This window comes from Homo sapiens, chromosome 12, assembly GCF_000001405.40.
Source record: "Homo sapiens chromosome 12, GRCh38.p14 Primary Assembly".
Lineage (NCBI taxonomy): Eukaryota > Metazoa > Chordata > Mammalia > Primates > Hominidae > Homo > Homo sapiens.
In genome coordinates, this window is record NC_000012.12 from 117,020,128 (window position 1) to 117,042,161 (window position 22,034).

Sequence of the window (22,034 nt, forward strand, 5' to 3'; positions counted from 1 at the left end):
GTCCCACTGTATGGATGTACCATAATTGCTTTAACTAGCACTCAGTTGAAGAGCTAGTTAATCGTGTCACCTACGTCATTCCAGTTCATGACAGCTAAAATGTGTCTGATTTTTCCTGTCAGTCTAATTATCTTTCCTTAATAGGTAATGTCTTTTTCTCTCAGGCTGCTTTTAGGACCTCTTGGTCTTTGTGTTTCCCCATTTTTTAAATTATACTCTTAGATATGTATTTTGTGTTTGATTCGTGTGCATTGAGTCGGCATGCATGTCTTTCATCAGTTCGGGAAACATCAGCTGTTAGCTGTCCGCACTCTGTTTTTCTCCTTCCGGAACTTGGGGCGTGTGGTGCACCACCCCTTCTGTCCCTCATGTCTCTTATACCCCCATTCGCAGTTTTCATATTTATCTCTTTGTGCTCCATTCTTGGTAATTTCTTCACATTTTTCTTCTGATTCACGCATTCTCTGATCTGCTTCCAGCCTATCTCCCAAATTTAATTTCAGGGACTATACTTTCATGCTTTTGTATTGAAAGCAGGAGTCTCCATACTCCGCTCCCTGCCTAGGGTGGCCCTTCAGTGTGTTTGATGAAACCACGGAGCTGAGCCTGGCGCTTGCCAGCAGCCTCCCCTCCCCTGAAGTCGCAGCTCACCCTCTCCTGTCTGGTTTTCAGCTCAGGTCCTGGGGAAGTCACTTCCTACGTGAGCTCAGCAGTGCCCTTAAAAGGATTTTATCCAGCATTTTTAAGCGTTTTACAGTGGAACTGTCAACATGTTGTCTGAAACAGAAGCCTCTTTTGCAACTAAGAGCAGTGACTGGCCTTGCGTGTATGTGGACTCTTGTGTAGCTACCTCCTCGAAGTGGAATTGCCGGCTCAGAAGTGAGGTGCATGTGGTATTTGGTTGGATATTGCCAAGTCACTCCCCAGAGAAGGATTTCTGCTCGCCTCAGCTGTCTAGGAGTACCTACCTGTCCATGTCTCCCTGCCACACAGTGCCTCGTAGGGCATGTTACCAAACTTTACCTTTGCTGGGTAGATTGGTGACAAGTGGCATTGCATTGTAGTTTTACTGTGTAATTTATCTGATTACCAGCAAACTTAAACATCTTACACATGTTTAAAAGCCATTAGTATTTTTCTGTGAATTGCTTTTTCTTATCTTTTCTGTCGATTTAATAATGGGTTGTCAGTCTTTACTAATTTGAAGGCATTTATTATAAGACATTAGCCCTTTTTGTTGCAAACATTTTCCTCAGTTTATCATTGGACTGACTTTCTGATTGTTCCCCCCAATAGGAAAAAGTTAAACCCTTTTTTCACCTTCCATATTTTGTTATGTTTAGAAAGGTCTTCCTCCTTTGAATATGTTTTATAGTTTATGTTTAACTCTTTGCGCTCTCTGTAATTTGTGTAATATATGTGATTGATAGAGCTCCAAGTTGAGAAAATTATTATAGAGTATTTTGCCTCTAACTGCTGTTACAAATGGGACATTTTCTTTGATTCTATTTATTTTTAAACTAGATTTTAGCATATAAATTTATATTTGACTCTGTGTTACTGAATTCTCTGGGACTGTCCCTTCTCACTGATAAGAAGTCTACCCACTTCTTTCCGATTTTTTTTAACCTTTCATTTTTTCCTTTTGTCTAATTGTGTCTGGTTTTTAAAAAGCGATGTGAAGTAATGGTGGTGCCAGTGCCTCACTGTTTCTAAAGACCACATCTGGAATGGCTGTGACGTTTCATCCCGTTGCTTTCGGCTTCCATGGACGTGACTGCCTGGTTTTTCGTTGATTCCCCTTGTCTGTGGCATCTTGCTGTGGAGTCTGTTCCTGATGTTTCACTCGGATATGTAGTTTTCTTTGATCATGCTCTCAGGGTTAGGCTTTGGTAATAGAATGCTGGCTTCATGGAGAATTTGGAAGCTTTCCTCCTTTTCCTAGGCTGTGGAACAGTTAACTTAGCCCTGGAGGCAGCTGGTCCTTAACAGGTCTGGCCAAAGTCACTTGTTCTTTTTTTGCAGGGATTGTTGCCCCTTGCTGGCTTCCTCAGGCTGCTATTTGTTATTTTATCTACTTGGATTTTCTGTCTCCTGGGGATTCGTTTTGATAATTCTTATTTTCCCAGAAAGCCATTTACTCATCTAAGTTTTCAGATTTGGAGATTTTAAAAATTCAAGAAATAGAAATAATTTCTGAATAGATTATAGTGACTAAAGAAACTATTAAAAAAAAAAAAAAACAGGCTGGGTGCAATGGCACATGCCTGTAATCCCGGCACTTTAGGAGGCTGAGGTGGGTAGATCCCTTGGCCCAGGAGTTCGAGACCAGCCTGAGCAACACAGCAAAACCGTCTCTACTGAAAATAAAAAAAAAATTAGCCTGGTGTGGTAGCACGTGCTTGTAGTCCCAGCTATTCGGGACGCTGAGGTGGGAGGATCACCTGAGCCCAGGAAGCTGAGGCTGCAGTGAGCCATGATGGTGCCACTACACTCCAGCCTGGGTGATGGGAGTGAGGCCCTGTCTTTAAAAAAAATAATAAACAACAAAACCTATAAAAAGAAATGTGATCCATGGAGTTTGTTTTTCCAGGTCTGACCGAACACTGAGTAAACTGCCCCTTCGTTGTTTTAAGTGCTCTCAGTGAATGCTTTTGCCTTGAACTACTCTGCCTTTTCTAGCATTAAAATTGCAACATCTTTTCATCCTCCTTTACAGATGTGTTTTTCATGCATAGCATATATTTTTACTTTGTGATCCATGGGCAGCTCTTCTTGTTAATAGGAAGGTTTGTCCTGTGTGCCTCCATGGACCCAGCAGACACACCAGGTCCCACTTAAGCCATCTGTCTTCTTGTTCTGGTATTTTGCTATGCCACTTTCTTTCAGAGAGTATCCACAGGTAGTTCACTTTGAGTCCTTTTCTGTTAAAGAAAAAGAAGTCTTTCTTTATTATGCCTTCACACTTGGTAGCTAAGCTAGGTATAGAATTGTTGGTTCAAAATAATTTTCCCTCAGAACTTGGAAAATTGACGTGTGTGCGCATGCTTGCATAACTAGAGTCAGGGCACGGGACATGTTTCAGAGAATCCTGTCGCTCCACAGCTTTTGGGTCAGACGTGCGTTTTTAATCTTACATCCTTGTGCTTGTCCTGTTCCTTGCTAGATGCTGGGGTCTTTCTTTTCAGGGCAGGGACTGTCTTTTCCTTTTCGACTTGCATCACAGGGTCTCTTAAGCTCATCTTTACATTTATTAAATGTAATGAATTTGATTTACTTTTAGCCTTTGGCTTATTGTAGAAACCAAGTAGGGTGGTGTTTGTAGTGGATACGAGATTTCTGTCCCATTATCTAATTTATCCTCGTGAAAAATTCCACATACATAAAAAGTAGTTTTTAAAGAGGTTCTTAAAGAAATGGGGATTATTATAAGGCAAGTAATTATTTCAATAAGTGACTGCCCAGGGTACACACACCCTTATCCCCGCTCTGCTGTGCTTATCAAGGATAAAGGCTTTCCCTTTCTCAGTTCCAGCAAGACAGCAATGAACTTACAAAGTCAAGTGAAATACCCAAAAAGTGTTCTTTTCCTAACCGGGTCCTCACCCGGTTAGGATCTGGGGTGTCTGGCTTTGTAGCTCTTGCCTTTAACAGGTTATTTTACCAACAGCAAAATTACTGTGCTGGGCAGTACACCTACTGCTGGGACAGGCGTCTCAGGCCAACCTGCGCATGCAGTCATGCAGGTGGCTTTTCCCTGTTAAGCAGGTAAAGTGGGCAGCCACTGTCCTTGGCCTGCGTCTTTCTTGCTCCATGTGCTTTTAAACCATTCAGATGAGACCGTGTGGGTCCTCCCTGACAGTCTGTGCTTGATGTCCTTATTATCGATGTTTGTTTGCAGCTGAGGAGTTTTTCATAGCAGTGTTGTGCATAGACCAGCACCGTGGAGGGGGAGTTTGTCATTTGAAGCTTTGACTCTAACCCCATTTCCCTTCTCTGCTCTTCCTGGGCCTGTCCAGGGTGAGGATCCACGACCTCCGCAGTGGTAACATCGCCCTGTCGCTCTCCGCCCATCAGCTCAGGGTCTCTGCTGTGCAGATGGATGACTGGAAGATCGTCAGTGGAGGCGAGGAAGGCCTGGTGTCCGTGTGGGATTATCGGATGAACCAGAAGCTGTGGGAGGTGTATTCCGGGTAAGGTGCATTCTAGACACTCTTGGGAGTTCCTAGTAGGAACAGGGAAGGCAGCACTAATCAGCCTGCACCAGGCACGGTGCTAAATGCCCCCTACCCCCCGGCTTCGCCAGGTGAATCCTTACTGTGACCCTAGGAGCCAGCTGCTGTCCCAGCACCGCTCTGCAGAGGAGGAAACAGGCTTGGAAATGGCGCTGGTCAGTGGGGATGCAGTTCCTGTCTCTGACATCATTCAGATCGCCACAATTCCTACATTAGCCAGGCCCAGCTTTCTCTAAGAATGAAACTACTTTTTTGCAAGTGCTATTCTGATTATTTTAGGATTTCTCCATCTTAATAAACAGAAAAGGGAACTCAAAAACATAGGAAGCTCGCTGGGCTAGACCAGGATGTGACACCCCACCTGCCCACAGGTGGAAGGCAGGGCTGGCCCAGCTGCTGTCCTCCACTCGAGTCCGTCATGTGTAACCATGGTTCTGCCCGTTGCTTAGACTTTCCTCATGCTGTTTACAGAGAAGAGCACTTAGGACTGAAGGGGTTCAGGCTCCAACGAAGGAGGAATTTGTCATTTCCACCTTTAACACCACTATTCAAAATATAAATAAATACTATCCTAAGCACAGGCTGATGGCGTCACAGAGGTAGGTAGGTTTACGCCAGTGGCACCTAACTGGTTAAGACATTTCCAGTGAGCCTGCTTCTGACCTTCAAAGCAGCAGCCCAGCCCAGGGCTGGCTCATCAGAGCTGACTTGAGCCCACCTGCCACCACCTCTACCTGGCCCTGCAGGCCTCGAACAGGAGACCCTGCGTTTGAGACAGGTGGGGAGAAAGGCAGCCGGCCCTCTCGCTTGCTGCCCTCAGCACCACTGTGAAGAGACATTCGGCCAGACACGTGGCTCACCTGTAATCCCAGCTACTCAGGAGACTGAGGAGCTCTCAAGGCCAGGGGTTTGAGGCTGCAGTGACTGTGTCACTGTACTCCAGCCTGGGTGACAGAATGAAACCCCATCTCTACAAAACCGAGATGATTCTGGGCCAGTGGCCTCTGAGCATGACAACATAGAAGAGCAGAAACAGGGCAAGGCCCTCCCACAGGAACTAAGATTTGTTCCCCACTTACCGCAAATCAAGGTAAACCGACCTCTGAGAACACAACCTCTGAGCAGCGACATGGTCTTTATGGAAGTGCAAGGTCAGCAATTTGACAGGTGTCTCCAAGAGGCGGCAGGGTTACATGCAGAATGGGCTTCTTCCTTGGAGGGCAGTGTTGGCAAACACTGTGGCCGGCACATTTTATCAGACAGAGCCCTGGGTACTGCCTGGCCCGCCCCCTCGCTGTGGCTGTGCCTGTTGAGGGCGCCTCGGCCCTTTTTCTGAATGGTGATGCACTGAATTGCCACCAGGTGGTGCCAAACGGCAACTAAAACTCCCGCACTGAAATTCCCGGAAGCATTGCCTTTGAGGAAAACCCTGGATCAGCCATCCAGGTCCTCAGGGATGGCTGCCAGCCCCCAACTCCAGTAGATCTCATTTTTCTCTCAGCAAAGCTTCACTCCCTGGGACAGGCCACTGAGATGAAGCCTAGCTAAGGAAGGCCTTCCCCAGAGGTGTGGCCCTGTCCCAGCACTGCCTCTGTCCCTGTGCGGTCCAGGCTTGTCCCCCACGTGGTCACTGTTTTCACCAGCACAAGGCTGACAGACACATGGTCTCCTGCCCAGAACTCACTGACTTGCTCAAGGCCTCACCTGCAGTGCCTGCTGCCAGGCCCCAGTCTGGCTGTTGTTTGGTCACTGTCATGTACCTCCCGCTGTCCGCTTCAGTCTCTTCAGCCCAGGTCCTCGCCTGCCTGACAGGGTGCCGTCAGTCCTCCAGGCTGCAGGCCTCCACCAAGCCTGCCCTCCCTCCCCGGGTCTTTCTCATCCTCCAGGTCCCATGCCAGGTCCACCAACACTTTCCTTCAGTCCTCCAGGCTGCAGGCCTCCACCAAGCCTGCCCTCCCTCCCCGGGTCTTTCTCATCCTCCAGGTCCCATGCCAGGTCCACCAACACTTTCCTTCAGTCCTCCAGGCTGCAGGCCTCCACCAAGCCTGCCCTCCCTTCCCGGGTCTTTCTCATCCTCCAGGTCCCATGCCAGGTCCACCAACACTTTCCTTCTGTGGGTGTCCCAACCCCAGGGAGGCAGGGACTGCTTCCCAGCTTCCCTCACTTCCAAGAATCCTTTGCTTTAGTCAAGGAGAGCAGCCCTGGCCCAGCCCACACAGGCCTCGTCCCCTCCTGTGCACCCCTCCCAGCCCACAGCACCTCCTGCTCCTCCCAGCACTTAACTCTGGGTCACACATTCTTTGTAGCTTGTAACATCGCTCGTGCTACAGAAACAATGGTCATGTTTTCTGGGACTGCATCTTACCTTCTTCACTAGCTAGGGCTCTCCCTGGGCCAGGCATCCACCTGGATGAGACATCTTTTTAATCCAGTGTCTCCTAGCTCAGTGCCGTGACCACAGCCGGTACTGCATGAAAGTTTCAGAATGAACGCAAACCTCTGTTCAAGAGACTTGGAACCATTTTGTTCCAAGATTTTCCGAACGTGCTTTCACCACCCAGGGTACGTGTGTCATTGCAGCCCTATGAGCAGGATGTGGGGGGCACCTTCATGGATCAACAGTGAACGTGCCCCCAGTGCTCCATAGATGATGGAGAGCCTGGCTGGGAAAGCTCAAGGGACTTGCCCAGGGAGGCAGCGATGGGCCAGTCTCTGTTGCATGTGGCTGATTCGTCTGCAGTAGGGTGTGCCCTTTATGTCTGGAATGTACCAGGTTGTGGGGGCAGATGCCAGCATGCGTACGGGGCATGCAGACCTGTTTACAAAGTCATGCCCAAAGCGTGGCCTGCTCACCTGAGCTTCGGGAACTGAGGTGAGACACTGCTTCCATGGGGGCCCTGTTCCCTCTGTGAAAGAGAAGCTTAGCTTTATGGGTTCTAGAATCCCCTGCAGCTCTGAACTCCCAGGCCTGCGGCAGCAAGTGCAGGCCCAGTGGACGCCCCCTTACGAGCTCTCTCCCACTGCCTTCCAGGCACCCGGTGCAGCACATCTCATTCAGCAGCCACAGCCTCATCACGGCCAACGTGCCTTACCAGACGGTAATGCGAAACGCCGACCTGGACAGCTTCACTACTCACAGGAGGTTAGTGGTGGGGCCGGGCGAGTAAGAGACCATCTTAGTTTGACTGATGTATAGAACCCCACCCCCCCCGCCGTGACACATTGCACCCTATGGGCTATACCCTCAGGCAGGGCCCTGCCTTTCTGCGAATTGGAAACATAAACGTGGATGCTGACCTGTACTGAGCACCCAGCATCTGATGCAGGACAGCCCCGTGGGGCGAGTCCACGCTGTCGGCTGTACAGAGAGGGAGGGCAAGCCGTATGCTGAGGGGCCTGCTGTGGTTAGAATCCTGTCAGGGGCAAGGCCCGCCCTCTTGAGTCCTTGCCCTGTGACACTCACTGCGCCCATCGGACTTGTGCACCCCCACGTTGACCGCTAAGCCGGGGACTGTGAGTATCTGACGCTGTGTGCCCAGAGAACGCGTTTGTGAAGCTGAACCTCTATCTGGTCTCAGGCGAACGCCTCCTGCACAGACAGAAGCGGCTGGGGTGAGGGCCAGCGAGGCAGCCCTGACCTGTCACCATCTTTGTGCTCTTTCTAGACACCGGGGGCTGATCCGCGCCTATGAGTTTGCGGTGGACCAGCTGGCCTTCCAGAGCCCTCTCCCTGTCTGCCGTTCATCCTGTGACGCCATGGCCACTCACTACTACGACCTCGCACTGGCCTTTCCCTATAACCATGTTTAGGGATGTGCCTCAGTTGGGAGCAAGGAGAAAAATGGGAAGAACCAGTTTTATCCATCTTAAAACGCCAGGCACCTCTTCACAGGTGGTAAACATTTAGGGGAAGAAAGCAGCCCAGGGTGCCATGCCTGACAGCACGCATCTCCCTGACCCCTGCACTTCCCCCAGCGCCTGGGGCAAGCTGGCGTGTGCCAGGGCTCGAGTCCCACGTGCTGCCAACTCAAACATAGCCTCCTTCCCCACCCAGCTGGCCACCCTGGCCTCAGCTCCCTCAGGACGCCTCAGGGATCTCGCTGCGCGGTCCTATACGGTCCCTGCTTAGCCAGCTTCTGTGTGTCCGCCCTCCCAGCTCCAGCCCTGCAGGCCGTCTTTTCCGTCTCCAGCCCCTTACCTCTTTTCCTCCGAGGGCCTTTGGATGTGCTTGTTCCTGGCCTCCAAGGCAATAACCTCCATGTCCTTTTCCCTGTATTTACTTGGGGTGCTCTTCTGTGACACTTGCCACCACCACCTTCCAGTAGCAAGCTGGTAGAGCTGTACTTTTTCTTCACAGCTTTTACCATGGTTTATAATTATATACTTATACAGTTTAGTCATCAATGACTATTTTGCTTACTATTGTGTCTATGATATGTGATACAAAGCAAATATTTTCTAAATATTCATTGACTAAACAGCCATCAAGATGAAACAGGACAGGAGAGAACTGTTCAGTGTGATACAGAGCTGCCATTTCCAAAGTATTCTGGAAGCAAGCCATTGCCTTACTCTTGATTTTCAACAGTTCTAAACAGCAACAGCATCCACCTAATATACCTTCAGAATATCAAAGCGAAAACTGATAGAACTACAAAGAGAAATAAAATCCATTCTCACGGCAGGCAAATCAGTGAGAAAAATGTAAAGATCTGGAGGATTTACTTAGTATCGCTAACAAGCTGGATCCAGTAGATGCGTATGGAATTTCAAATACACATAGACGATGCACAAAAAACCACCCTGTACGAAGGCCACAAAGAACAGCTCAGATGCACAAAGATTCACACCATACAGGCCAAATTATAGAATCCCCCAACCCCAAGACACTGCACCCTATGGGCTATACCCTCAGGCAGGGCCCTGCTTTTCTAGGAATTGACTCCAATGCAGAATAGTGAGAAATCAACAAAAAGCAAAATAAGACAATTCCAGACACTCCTGAATTTACTTGGATTTAAAGAGGTTAATAAAAACAAACTATAAACTCTCTAGACTGGGCTGACAGTAAAAGCACAGAATACAAAACCCAGGGGATGGGGCTGGGAGGGGCTGTGAGGGGCTGGCACCTCAGCTCAGAAAAGGTAGCAGCAATCCCAAAGCAGCAGAAGGCAGGGGTTAAATCAGGATAAAAACAGACATCAGTGGAATCGAAAACCAATAGTTAGTTAATATAAAGCCAGAAGGTTTTGTTTTTTTTCAGGTGGGGTCTCGCTCTGTCACCTAGACTAGACTGGAGTGCAATGGCCTGATCTCGGCTCACTGCAACCTCTGCCTCCCGAGTTCAAGCAATTCTCCTGCCTCAGCCTCCTGAGTAGCTGGGATTACAGGCGTCCGCTACCACAACTGGCTAATTTTTACATTTTTAGTAGAGACGGGGGATATTGCTATGTTGGCCAGGCTGGTCTCAAACTTCTGACCTCAAATGATTGCCTGCCTCAGCCTCCCAAAGTGCTGGGATTACAGGTGTAAGTCACTGTACCCAGCCCAAAAGCAGTTTAAAAAAAAAAAAGACAAAATATACAACTCTTGATAAAACATAAAGGTACAGTGGTCTATGAGGAAGAGAAAAGGTACCTGAGGATGCAGAAGTACCTACCACATGGGAACCGTTTGTCCACACTCATTCCAGAGAAAACCGAGTCCTCTCAGTTGCACACGTGTACGTATCAGTGGGAAGTGCTTGCCATTACTCCAAAGCCTAGAACCTTCACGTCATGAAGGTTCTGGAAGGTTTTTCAGATTGCTTAAGATACGCAGCCATTCCATATTCATCTCCAACTACACAGGGGAACGGAGCAGATAGAGCTGCGACTGGGAAGCGTCACCTTCCCGTCCAGAGCGCTTTCTTTCAGACCCTGCCTACCTGCAGGCAGATGGACCGGAGGGTTTTCTGCTTCCTTTCAACCAGATAACTTCCTAAGTGGAGATGGCCTGTAGGTAGCAAATGCAGGATTTTGTTTACTTTCATCATGTCATGTGGTGGTCAGACTGCTCGCTGGTGGCCTCGCTTTAGAAGGTTTTCATCAAGCCCCGCCCTTTCTCTCTCATAGTCTTAATGCGTCTGGACCACTGGGGAAAATATTTTTCTTTTCAAAAAGCAGCCCCTTCAGTCTGCGTTCCCAGTTCATTTTGCAGGCGCATTCGCCCTTCCTAGTTTGCAGCAATTAAAGATAACGGAGTGTAAAGTCATTAGACCCAGAATTAGAGCAGCCAGCAGCTGGCCCAGTGTAAAAATGTCCCAAGTGTAGCCCCTCCCACCGCAGAGCCTGTTTCTAACGTACCTGCCATTCGTGGAAGTCGCCTGGGTTTTGTAAAGGAGAATTTTTTGGACTCAAGCTGTCATCTTCAAGCACGCCAACTTCAGGCAGTGTTTTCTACTGCAAACCTCCACATCCTGGAATCAATCACACTGACAGGGAAAGGATAAATGCTCCTTTATAAGCCAACATGTATCCAAATTAAGCCCCCTTACCTTTATCCAGACCCTTTCACAAACAAGTTCTGAGTTTTTAGCCAATTGATCCTCTACTTTCCTTCTTTAGTCCCTCTCAGGGACGCCTCCATCCCCGGCTCCCCTAAAGGTAGAAGATACTCGAGCATGCTGCCAGGGGAGCTGGATGGTGAAACACCTGAAGATCTCATATCGCCTCTCAAAACACTGTCGGACTTGCTTTCTGCTTTATGATGTCCGTAGTTGTTCTAATATTAAATGCTTTGAATTTCTTTATTGGTCAAGTTATTTTAACTTGGGCAAGGCATACAGTGATAATCCCCTGGCATGCCACGATTCCAGCTCTTCCCACCCCCTTGAAATCTTACCTCCCACCGTGGTGGTTTTGTAAACCCACAGTCAATTGGATTTGCCCAGAACCTCCCCTACAGGCGCTCCCAGCCCAGGATCCAGGAGACCCGCAACATGGTACAGTAACTCTTCACCAACCGTCATCAATAGGTTTTCTTAGAAACTACAACTTTAAGCAAAATGAGGTATAATGAAACTAATTTTGGCTGGGCAAGGTGGCTCAGGCCTGTAATCCCTGCACTTTGGGAGACCGAGGCAGGCGTATCACCTGAGGTCAGGAGCTCAAGACCAGCCTGGCCAACATGGCAAAACCCCATCTCTACTAAAAATACAAAAATTAGCCAGGCCTGGTGGCGTGTGCCTGTAATCACAACTACTCGGGAGGCTGAGGCAGGAGAATCGCTTGCAGCCAAGAGGCAGAGGTTGCAGTGAGCTGAGATCGCACCACTGCACTCCAGCCTGGGCGACAGAGCGAGACTTCGTCTCAAAAAAAGAAATGGCAACTTTAAGCAAAATGATATATAATGAAACTAATTTTACTATAGGCTAATGGATGTAAACAAGAGTTAAGTTCCCACGGCATATTGCTGGCCATAAAAACTTCACCAAACTTTAGAACTTTAAACCAAACACTTCTAATATTAAACATTAAATAGACATGAGTTAGTTATACATACATTTAAGAAAAATTACTAAAAACAAGATAATTACCCAATTTTTGGTGACTCTGAGTGCTGGCAGTTGCAGCGATGGTGAGTTATATCACAGAATAAATGTTTGCAAAGCAAAAATTGTCAGGAGCGCCTCCTTCCACCACGCAGGTCAAACACCAGAATGAACGGGCTCACTGGGCACTTCCGTACAGCGTCATTTACTATTGTGCATTTGTATGGTTATGGGAGGCAATTTTTATTTTACAATAATTTTTTATTCATTCCTTCTTTCATTTTCCAACTCAGTTATTCCAGTTTAAGGTGGTGGGCGACCAGAGCCTATCCCAACAGCTCAGTGTGCAAGGCAGGGACCACCCTGGACAGGATGCCCTCCCATCACAGGGCACACTCACCCCCCACACACACTCAGACTGCGACCAGACACCAACAAACCTCACCTGCACATCTTTGGGGCGTGGGAGGAAACCAGAGTGCCCAGAAAGCTCTCCGACCGGGAGGACGTCTAGACGGTGCACAGACAGTGGCCCCAGCCGGGAATCAATTTTTTTCTCAATGTTATAACAAAATGACATTGAATAAAACGATGCTATTCAAGGACCCACTGTGTGTGAAATGGTGCATGAGGGCATTTTCTGGGAAAAAGCGTGGTTACCTCGCATCAGATTCTCCAAGGGACTACAGCCCCCCTGAGAATTTCATCTCTGCCACTAGAGTGTGTTTTGTAACCCAAGCCATGTGCCACCCTGGTGCTGCTGTTGCCCAGGCAATAATTTATGTTTCAGAGATACTCCAGGGACGGCATCACCTTCTCCTACCAAGCACAACTCCCTGCGCCGGCTGAACGCTAGGGTTTCAGCTGATCGGAGGGAAACTGAATTTCCCCAAGAGAGGGCTTGGTCCTTTCTGAAAGGAAAGGCTGACACCCCCAAGATGAAGTCCTTCACCCCCAACCCCCTCTTGAGAGCTAGAGGCCCCACGTTTCAGGGGCTAGCGCTTCCCACCACACGTGTTAGATGGCAGACACTGGCCGCCGCAAACCCACTTTGTTTACAGTTGCTGAGAAACGGCTTCCCCTGGTGAGGGTCCAGCCTTCTCGTAACAACTGTCCCGCGGCTATTCCAGGCGGGCCACCACAGGGGCTCCAACAGGGCCGTCTCCCACTGCCTGACGGAGCCTTCGCTCTGAGCAGCAGCTGCAGCAGCAGTGAGCTCACGGCGCTGGCCGGCCGGGCCGAGGTGCTGTGAGCCACACAGGCCGGCCCACGTCACCCGTGCAGCCGGGCCAGATGGTTACCTGGCTACCGCTGCAGGGGCCTGTGGCGACTTGGACAAGGGCTGCCTCTAATGTGCGATGGCAGATTCCCTCTTGCTGGGCTCTGGCGGGTGCCATGTTGTCCCCAGCCCACTTTCGGCCTCTGATGCCCAGCGTGGGCTTCCAGAAGCAGCCATTTGACTGCTCTGCACTGGGGGCCGTGTCTTTTCCTAGGAAGGGAAGGGGAAGCCCCCCCAGGCTGAGCTGTCAAGCCGTGTCTTTTCTTCCCTCGCCCAATGTTAGGACAAACGCTGCCTTTTCGTTTCTCTAAGATAGACGTGGCAGCTACCTCCTCAGCGGGCCCCTTGACCACTGCCACCCCATCAGAGCCACTCTTGGGGCACCGGCCCTTCCTCTGGGAGACTAGAACCCAGTCCCTTGCTGACTTGGTCAACAAGCAGATTAGAGGGCTGAGCAGCCACCACGTCCTCCTCAGAGTCGTGAGTCCTCCTAGGACCAGGCTGGTCCACCACCAAGCCCCTGCTGATTGCCACATGTGCAAATTCTGCAAGAGGACAGAGACGCCGCCAGTGCCCCGGGAAGTGCGGTGCTCCCCCTACTCAGCTCTTCCTGGCTTTCCCAAGGTCGCTGTGTGGGAGGACAGCCTGCAAGGCAGGTGTTTGCAAAAGCCTTGCCAAGGCAACTTGTATTTTTAACTCTCCATCAGCCTACTTAAGTCACACGGCGCCGTTTCCAGCACAGCAGAGTTCAGCCGCAGCCTCGTTAACTGCAGGCAGGTGGGGACAGGTTCAACTGCTCCATGACAAGGATCAGATCCACAGATGACCTGTCTCCCATTAGCAAAGCTTAAAAAGAACTTTCCAGTCCCTTGGCTCAGAAAACAACAGCATTGTTTTGTTAAAGTCTAGCAATAATTCGTTCCCTATGCGGGTATTTGGCCAGAGCTGGAAGCTGCTGTCATCTTACTCCGTTCCCTTATCCATAATTCATGCTTAACGTGGCTGCAGTGTGTCCCCTGAGCTCCTCATATTCCATTTCCATCACACGGCCCTTTTGTAAACCAACCAAATTAGAGTGTTTGTGTCAAATTGCCATATTCTTTCAACATCCAAAAGCCAACCTTTCCCCTTGGTAATACGGCGATATTAGGAGTTCAGCCCGCTTTCGACTCTATTCCTGGCAGATGGCTGAAGAGTATGGACAGAGGTGACCTCCCCTGGCGTCCAGCAGGCTGAGGATGCCGCCCCTGCTCAGTCTTCTCCACCCACGGCCTGTGGCCCTCAAAGGACGAACTTATCAGCTTCCTTCAAATATTTGACTTAGTGTTGATTTCTGCCTAGTTCCTTTTAGTCACTGGTGTCATTTCTGATGGAAGGAAGGCTGTTAACCCGTGTACGTGGTTATCACTCACCTGCTGACCAGGTTTCAGGGCAAACACATCACCTCCTTCAGGCTGCTAGAGTTGAGGTGCCCCAGTCATTCCATTCCTGTCCCCATCCAGGGATGAGAGGGGGCTTGCTGCACTTGGGACAGGGTCTGTGAGGCCAGAAATCCCCTCGTGGGCACGCCCCATCGGCCAGCAGATAACAAGAGCCATTTCTGAACCACCTGCCTCCAGCCCGAGGCACAGACCGCAGTGCCCAGATGGTGGGGCTGACTGAGATCCGTGCCCGGGGCAGCAACCCTCGGTCTGTGTTGATCAAAGGCCAGCAGCCCCACAAGACGCATCAGCCTGCCCCTTCTGGGATCAGGTTTGCACCAACTCATCGCCAACCCTGATCGTTCCCGGGATGCCACAGACAATGCCAGGAGCCGGGCAGGAGAGCGCCAGGTGATTTCTGCATCCACGCTCTGGCGGAAATGAGCCCTAACCCTGCCAATTAGAGGACACCCTCAGTGATTATGCACAAATGAGCTTTCTTCTGAGCAGTGTGGACTGGGCTCACGGTAACTCAACCTCATTTTAATTAGCTGTTTAGATAAGCGGTGGCCCAAAGCTTCAAAGACATCAGGCAGGCCTCAGTGGCCCAAACAGGGGAGCACATTTGATGTGTGCCCATCGTGGCCACATCTCCCAAACTAAAACTCGGGGCACAGGGGCTGACGGAAGATGATTTATTTATAAAAACACTTTACGTTAATGAACTGCCTTTGTTGAAATGAACCAAATCAAAGCAAACTGGGACAGCCCCAGAAAACCTGAGGCCTGCAGTGGCAGTGCCAGTATGCCCTCCTGCTCAGTGGTACCACAGATCGTCCTGCTCACATGGGCACGGCAGGGCAAGGTGCATGGGGGCTGGAAGAGGGAGGTTCTTGCAGTAAGGCCGATCCCCACCAGGCTGTCCTAGTGACTTTCTAGGTGCCTTCCGCCAGCAGCCAGGGGACCAAGAAGCTCCCGAGCAGCAGGGGAAGGCAGGGAGAGCAGGTGAGGGGGATCACGTCCCACTTCCCTCCAGAGGAAACTGCCTGGGATCCACCTGGAAGTCCCGGGGGCTTTGTCTCTCCCACTATGTAGTTAGCGCTTGAGGGCAGGAAACAGACCTCTGTCTTTACCCTGCAGCTTTTTTTTTTTTTTTTTTTTTTTTTTTGAGACAGTCTTGCTTCGTCGCCCAGGCTGGAGTGTAGTGGTGTGATCTTGGCTCACGGCAGCCTCCACCTCCCGGGTTCAAGCGATTCTCCTGCCTCAGCCTCCTGAGTAGCTGGGACTACAGACGCCCACCACCACGCCCAGCTAATTTTTGTATTTTTAGTAGAGACAGGGTTTCTCCATGTTGGCCAGGCTGGTCTCGAACTCCTGACCTCAAGTGAGTCGCCTGCCTCGGCCTCCCAAAGGCACAGGCATGAGCCACCCACCGTGTCTGGCCTGCCCTGCAGCTTTGAGTGTTGAATGGACTCCTAGACTGAGAAGCAGAGTTCCAGAGGTGATTTCAGACCATGCAATTTCACCTCCCTGGAGAGACTGAACCTGCCTCCAGCCACCTACCTGCAGAGAGCAGAAGCCTCAGGAGAGCCTGGGGTGGCACACGCTGCTGTCTGGTGTCTACTAGGCTCTGCCAGGTGCTTACAATGACAATGACAGCACAGAGTCAAGAGCCTCTCAGCCGCAGCTTGGCACCTACCCAGGAGGTCGTGCGCATTAACCAAAAGCTGAGCCTCCCCAGGCCGCACTCACTTTCCCGGGGCCATTCGCCCGCTCCCTGTGTAGCGGGTCACCTGGCCCTTTAGCTCCCTGTGCTGCTTGGCTGTGTTTTTAAATTCAAGTCCTGACTTTCAGTCATCCTAAGCAGCATCCCATGGACTCCCTGGTGTGGGGTAAAGTTACTTTTTTTCTTACATGTATTAAAACAGGAATACACCTGTTGAAGTCAATATTCATCCATGGAACACCCAGAACCCTCAGTCACCTCTCCAGGGGGCAGGGGTGTGGGAGCCCTCGGGGAGCAGGTTAGACGCAGCTCAGCACTGTGGGAACGCATCCAACAATAGTGTTTCTGCCTGCCGTGCCCACCATTGCCTCAGAAGTGACAACGGTCCACAAGCACGTGGCCAGGGGTCCCTGGTCTGAGGCTGAGAGAGGAGGCTCCCCCTGCAGCCACTCCCCTGCCTAGGGTTCCCGCTGGGACCACACCAGGCTCAACGCTAGAGTGGAGATGGGGCATCTCAGCACCATCTGGGCTCCGTGCGTTTGCAGCCTTAAGCACAAGTCACGGTCCCCTAGAACAGTGTCCGGGGCCTGTGCTTATGATGGGCTGTACCGAATGAACTCCCCCAGCCTTTAATGTAGAAGGGGTAGGGCCAGGCGCTACCAGCACTTTGGGAGGCAGAGGTGGGTGGATTGCATGAGCTCAGGAGTTCAAAACTAGCCTGGGAAACATGGGGAGACCCTGTCTCTACTAAAAAAGTACAAAAATTAGCCAGGCATGGTGGCGGGTGCCTGTAGTCTCAGCTACTCGGGAGGCTGAGGTAGGAGGTTTGCTTGAGCCTGGGAGGCGGAGGTTGAAGTGAGCTGAGATTGCACCACTCCACTGCAACCCTGGGTGACAGAGTGAGACCCTATCTCAAAAAATAATAAATAAAATATAAAATAAAATAAAATAAATGAAGGGGCATGCTGGGGGGTGGGGGTGGGGAGCAAAAAAGCAGAGGCGCCCTGAGCTTACTTCTTCTGTTTGCAAGTTTCCACCTGGAACCTCACGTGGTGGACACTGAAGCCTGATAAACGTCACCATTTACAAAAAGTGGAGTGAACTAAGAACCCTGCCGCACACAGCTGCTTCCACGTGCATGCAGTGGCTCTGGAAGGATGCCTAAGGCAGGAGCTAACACATCTGCCTTTGAGAAGGGAAGACGGGGGAGGCTGGGGGATGGGGGTCGCGGGCAGATTCCACGGCCTGCCTTTTCGAAGCTTTTAAATTCTGAACTGCAAGGCGTGGGCTTGTAGTAAAGGTAAAGCACGCTTCAAATTAAAACTATGAATGAAAACACCAAGAAGGCAAATAATACCTATTGCCAGTTATCAAGAGAACTCTCTTGGAATACTAGAACGACGCCACCCAGGGAGGGTCAATAAAGGAACTAGGCGTTTCGTGGACTTCAGCACCAGAAAGAGGCCTGGAAAGCAAATGCTAGCCCACCTTGCACAGCGATGGGAACGCATCACCCAGGGAGATAGGGAAGTTGCACTCAGCGGGCCGTTGCAACGCCCATAGGACACAGCTCTCCAAGTCCCACAGGTGCCAGCCCTCTGCTGACTCCAGGCCACCACGACCAACAACCTTTGTTTCCCTGCCCCCAGCTCTAGCCAGTCCCCAAATTGAAAGGTGATAACTGAAGTTGTCAGGGATCCTTACCTACCCAGCTTCCACTGCCGCTGCTTGCTGGAAGGCTGTAGGGCCCTGGGCCCTGCAACTGGCCCAGGACTGCCAGAAAGAGCCAGGGGCACAGCCATGGCTGGCAGACCACACTGCCCCTCCCCCAATCACCGTGAGGAGCTGGGGGTCCCGGGTCAGCCAGCCAGGCCCTGACTCCCCGCGCCCACTGACCAACGGAGCGGGTTCAGGTGCGTCCCCACAGCAGGGACAGGCTCGGGTGCATCCCCGCAGCAGGCACAGGCTCGGGGCTGCAGATGTTTTCTCCATCAGTCTACAGATGTGGCTGTGACAGTGAGGAGGCCCCACTGCCTGAGTCCTGGCCACCTCAGAAGCCCACACAGGGCAGGAGCTGCTTCTCCTTATTTTACTCCCTAGGATGGAGAACACGGATGGGTTCCCAGGATTTACATAGGAAGAACAGCAGATACTTTACCCAAAATAAACAAGAAAGAACAGTTCTTCTGCCAAACCAACCTTTTAATACTATTTAGGCTAGGTGTGGTGGCTCACTCCTGTAATCCTAGCACTTTGGGAGACTGAGGCAGGAGGATCGCTTGAGCCCAGTCGTAAGAGACCAGCCTGGGCAACATATTAAGACCCTGTCATTACAAAAAATGTAAAAACTAGCCGGGTGTGGTGGTGTGTGCCTGTAGCCCCAGCTCCTTGGAAGCCTGAGGCAGGAAGACTGCTTGAGCCCAGGAGGTCAAAGCTTCAGTGAGCCGTGATCCCGCCTGCACTCCAGCCTAGGTGACAGGGGGAGGCCCTGTCTCCAAAATAAAAATAAAATAATTTCATCATTGCTTGTTCCTCATAGTCAGTCTCATGCTGCCAAGTGACCAGGCCACTTTAATGGACGTGAGGAACTGACAGAGGCCACATTAATTAACAAACCTTTTTTTTTTTTTTATTGGAGATAAAAACAGCGAAGTCCCACATACCATACCCTACAAGACACAAGGTGCGCAGACGAGCCTTGGCTATGTACCGGCGCTGCAGGAAGAGGCTGTCCGCCGGGCCTGGGCTGCTCCAGCTACGCGGGGAGGCGGCCCCATTGCAAAGTGCAGTTTCTCCGCGGAGGTGGCGGTGGGTCAGTGGCAGAGGGCCATGGTTTCCATGTTAAGGAAGCGGACGTGCATCTTGGTCTCAATGTCGATCCCCTGCCAGATCTGGAAGGGACGGAGCAGCGTTAAGGGCACGTTCCCGCCGCCACCTCACACCTGACCAGGCCCCCCGGTCCTCGGCCCTTCCCACCTACCGTCTCCTGCCACCAACTGTGATGTTCCAGGCAGGTGAAAACCAGAGGGCTGTGTTTCAAGACTATGAGCTAAGCGAGGACGAAAAACTTCCATCTGTCTTTTTTGCTGGTTAATTTGGCTCTGACATTTGGATTCTTTCTGAGATTGTCACAGCAAGTTATTATTAAGTACTGAATCCAAGCTCTTAGCTCCAAGGCATTTGAATCTCACCCACCACTTCAGGTTCTGTGATTTTCATGCAAATTACATAACCCCATTAAGTCCCCTTCCCCAACCTGTGCCGCCCACTTCACAGAACGTTGGGGGCTCTAATGGACCCGTCCTCATCATGGACGCGTTTTGTAAACTGTTAGGGGCTGTGCGGTCACAAGGCTTCGCTAGGCCATCGTCATCAATTTAAGGATCTCCACAGTGTGGTCTTTACAACCTCCCTGGGATAAGGGATCACGTGCATTCTAGAAAGACAAACTCAAGCCCAAAAAGGTCATTTCTACCCAAAGATCACATGGTGGCCCCATTCCTGGTGCTGGTACTGCTGTTACAGTCCAGCCTGGCCAGAACCTTGGAGTGGGCCTTCGTGCTACAAGGCCATGTATGTACCCCAGTGCTCCCAAGGCTATGCCCGCCAGCGCCTTAGCAAGTCAGGGCCCACGGGGGCCACAGATGGTAGGATGGGGGGGTGCCAACAGGAACGGAGGGACGTGGTGGGCGGGTGACTTCTCACTGCTTCCCGCTTATGTAAGAATCAAACTCTCAAGCTGTCACTCTCAGCATCTCCGGGGACAGCCACGAGGCTGGTAACGGGGGAAAGTCAGAGCCCCGTGGGCACCCAGGCGACAGGGAGGCCTTGGGACATTTCCGGCCGCAGCCCCCAGGTACTTCCTGCTTTCCTGAGCCTGTTCTGGGTGTCATGGGGTGTGCAAAGACAGCTCTGGTCCCAGTCGAGCGGCCCCATCCTTGCTGGATGCACGAGGCATTCCCAGGGTAACACGCATGGACACTCACGGTGGTTTCTGCTAAGTGCCAGGTGGCAACATGGTCGCTGAGGGCATTGGAAGGAATCAGGGAATGGGAAGGGCCAGCTGGTCCCAAAAGATCCCTCAGGGGTACAGGGACAGGCTTGGGGAGCACTAGGGGCCTGGCAGAGGCCAGCCTTTAGGGGAAGGAAGTTGGTTTCGGAGGCAAAGAAATTCATTCTACTCAGCCTGAAGCAGCGATACTTCCTCCCCAACCCTCCCTCCCTCCTCCACCTTCTAGCTCTTCATTCTGTTGTCTTGCTCTGGCGGGCGTCACCTTCTCTGGTGACCGGGTCCCCAGCATAGGCCAGAGTGAGTCTGAAGCACAAGTGCAAATTCTGCCTTTTCCCAGTCTGCCCGCCCTGCCAGCCCCGGGGTGGGCCATCTGCACGGCAGTCCACGGGGCCTGCCGACCTCCGCAGTCTCCTTTCAGCCTTTCATCACAGCCAGGCCCTGCTGCCTGCCTCTCCTCTCTCCTGCCGGTTCTAACCGTTGGCTGCCAGGCTTGGCCTCGGCTCCATGGGGCTGTGACCCTGAGGGCCCAGTCCCCCAGTCCTGCTCTAGGCTCCTTGGCCAGAAGCCGTGATCCTTCCTTCCCTAATCCTCTCTCCTCTCTTGGTCTCTTGCTCCCCTGACTTCCTTGTCTTCCTCAAGTACCCCAAAAGCACTTGGGAACACTGTTGTGATGCCCAGGGCCGAACTGCGGGGAGGGGGATGGGGGGAGGGGGATGGGGACAGGGGTCCTCTCCCTGCCACAGGGCATCTGATTATCAAAACGGCCAGGAGCAGGTCTTGATTTGCAAGGCCAGCACTGGCCTAACCACCATCCACTAGCAGAGGCTGGAGGAGCCATCAGGGAGGAGGGCAGAGTGGGCGGCCGCTTTACGAAAGTGTCATTTTAGGACACAGCGAGGAAGGCCCGGGCGCAACGTGTGCAGTCAGCTCCAAACTGAGCTTCCGAGAAACACTATTTCTAAAGACACAGAAAGTTCCCAGAATCCCTGTTCCAACTACAACAGGGCCTTTTTTTTTTTGAGATGGGGTCTCACTCTATCACCCAGGATGGAGTACAGTGGCGCAATCTCAGCTTACTGCAACCTCTACCTCCTGGATTCAAGCGATCCTCCCGCCTCTGCCTCCCGAGTAGCTGGGATTACAGGCGCCTGCCACCACGCTTGGCTAAGTTTTGTATTTTTAGTAGAGATGGGGTTTCACCATGTTGGTCAAGCTGGTCTCGAACTCCTGACGTCAGGTGATCTGCCCGCCTCAGCCTCCCAACGTGCTGGGATTACAGGCATGAGCCACCGCGCCCAGCCTACAACGGGGGTTACTTCTGAGAAGCGGCAGTGGGACCGCAGGTGGGAGAGAATTTGGTTTACACTATATACCCTTTTGTACTGCTTACATTGTTTTGACTACGTGTGAATATTACCTTTTCCATAAAAATAAGAAAAACCAGTTTAAATTGCTTTAAAGGCCATGCCCAGGTTGACCCCTTCCTACTGAGATGTTGGTCACCCAGGAAGCCTGTCCCTTGCTACTGCAGGTAAAGAGCCATGTCCCCTCCTGACCAGTGGGCCACACGAGGTCTTCAAGGGTCCCCCGAGGCTCCCACGCCCAGGCCACCCACCTTCAGGAAGTCCTCGAAGGTGATCCCCTCGTACACCTGATCAGGCTCCTGGGGACGGAAGCACAGGGTGGACAGTGAGTGGCGCAGGTCCCCACACAGCTTCCGCAGGGGGACGGTCCACTGGCCTCCCCTCCCCACCAATACCCAAATGTAAGTTGTTGAGGCTGTTTGGGAGGAATCACAAGAAGAGGAGAACGTTCTGGATCGTCTGCCTC

The 22,034-nt window shown here is 51.4% G+C and overlaps 2 protein-coding genes across 12 annotated transcripts in view, besides 8 other annotated features; one reads left to right on the plus strand and one right to left on the minus strand.

Moving 5' to 3' along the window:
* Positions 1-11,021, plus strand: part of FBXW8 (F-box and WD repeat domain containing 8) — a 120,199-nt gene extending 109,178 nt beyond the window's left edge. For all 6 annotated transcript variants that reach the window (XM_024448937.2, NM_153348.3, XM_017019176.2 and 3 more), the window contains 3 exons: positions 4,020-4,193; positions 7,267-7,377; positions 7,901-11,021. In XM_024448937.2, coding sequence (XP_024304705.2) covers positions 4,020-4,193; positions 7,267-7,377; positions 7,901-8,045 — 430 coding nt within the window. In that variant the 3' untranslated portion in view covers positions 8,046-11,021. The remainder of the gene's footprint in view (positions 1-4,019; positions 4,194-7,266; positions 7,378-7,900) is intronic.
* Positions 3,998-5,197: an enhancer, noted in NCBI's record as "BRD4-independent group 4 enhancer chr12:117461930-117463129 (GRCh37/hg19 assembly coordinates)". NCBI's record gives its function as "activates an origin of replication core promoter dependent on BRD2, P300/CBP, MED14 and CDK7 cofactors, and independent of BRD4, by STARR-seq in HCT116 cells {active_cell/tissue: HCT116}" and the evidence as "EXISTENCE:reporter gene assay evidence [ECO:0000049][PMID:35650434]".
* Positions 3,998-5,588: a biological region, named in NCBI's record as "BRD4-independent group 4 enhancer GRCh37_chr12:117461930-117463129".
* Positions 4,517-5,052: an enhancer, noted in NCBI's record as "H3K27ac hESC enhancer chr12:117462449-117462984 (GRCh37/hg19 assembly coordinates)". NCBI's record gives its function as "activates a minimal SCP1, AML or CMV promoter by ChIP-STARR-seq in primed H9 embryonic stem cells {active_cell/tissue: H9 hESC(primed)}" and the evidence as "EXISTENCE:reporter gene assay evidence [ECO:0000049][PMID:30033119]".
* Positions 5,053-5,588: an enhancer, noted in NCBI's record as "H3K27ac-H3K4me1 hESC enhancer chr12:117462985-117463520 (GRCh37/hg19 assembly coordinates)". NCBI's record gives its function as "activates a minimal SCP1, AML or CMV promoter by ChIP-STARR-seq in primed H9 embryonic stem cells {active_cell/tissue: H9 hESC(primed)}" and the evidence as "EXISTENCE:reporter gene assay evidence [ECO:0000049][PMID:30033119]".
* Positions 15,697-16,449: an enhancer, noted in NCBI's record as "H3K27ac-H3K4me1 hESC enhancer chr12:117473629-117474381 (GRCh37/hg19 assembly coordinates)". NCBI's record gives its function as "activates a minimal SCP1, AML or CMV promoter by ChIP-STARR-seq in primed H9 embryonic stem cells {active_cell/tissue: H9 hESC(primed)}" and the evidence as "EXISTENCE:reporter gene assay evidence [ECO:0000049][PMID:30033119]".
* Positions 16,450-17,201: an enhancer, noted in NCBI's record as "H3K27ac-H3K4me1 hESC enhancer chr12:117474382-117475133 (GRCh37/hg19 assembly coordinates)". NCBI's record gives its function as "activates a minimal SCP1, AML or CMV promoter by ChIP-STARR-seq in primed H9 embryonic stem cells {active_cell/tissue: H9 hESC(primed)}" and the evidence as "EXISTENCE:reporter gene assay evidence [ECO:0000049][PMID:30033119]".
* The window catches only part of TESC (tescalcin), a 60,494-nt gene continuing 57,255 nt past the window's right edge, over positions 18,796-22,034 (minus strand). For 4 of the 6 annotated variants that reach the window (NR_031766.3, NM_001168325.2, NM_017899.4 and 1 more), the window contains 2 exons: positions 21,820-21,867; positions 18,796-19,083 (listed from right to left, as the gene is read on the minus strand). Coding sequence is in view for 5 of the 6 variants with exons in the window: in NM_001168325.2 (NP_001161797.1) it covers positions 19,006-19,083; positions 21,820-21,867 (126 nt within the window). In the remaining variant the exon portion in view is untranslated. The remainder of the gene's footprint in view (positions 19,084-21,819; positions 21,868-22,034) is intronic. The other 2 variants (XM_047429044.1, XM_017019532.2) reach the window with 1 other exon arrangement.
* Positions 19,249-20,194: an enhancer, noted in NCBI's record as "H3K4me1 hESC enhancer chr12:117477181-117478126 (GRCh37/hg19 assembly coordinates)". NCBI's record gives its function as "activates a minimal SCP1, AML or CMV promoter by ChIP-STARR-seq in primed H9 embryonic stem cells {active_cell/tissue: H9 hESC(primed)}" and the evidence as "EXISTENCE:reporter gene assay evidence [ECO:0000049][PMID:30033119]".
* Positions 20,195-21,138: an enhancer, noted in NCBI's record as "H3K4me1 hESC enhancer chr12:117478127-117479070 (GRCh37/hg19 assembly coordinates)". NCBI's record gives its function as "activates a minimal SCP1, AML or CMV promoter by ChIP-STARR-seq in primed H9 embryonic stem cells {active_cell/tissue: H9 hESC(primed)}" and the evidence as "EXISTENCE:reporter gene assay evidence [ECO:0000049][PMID:30033119]".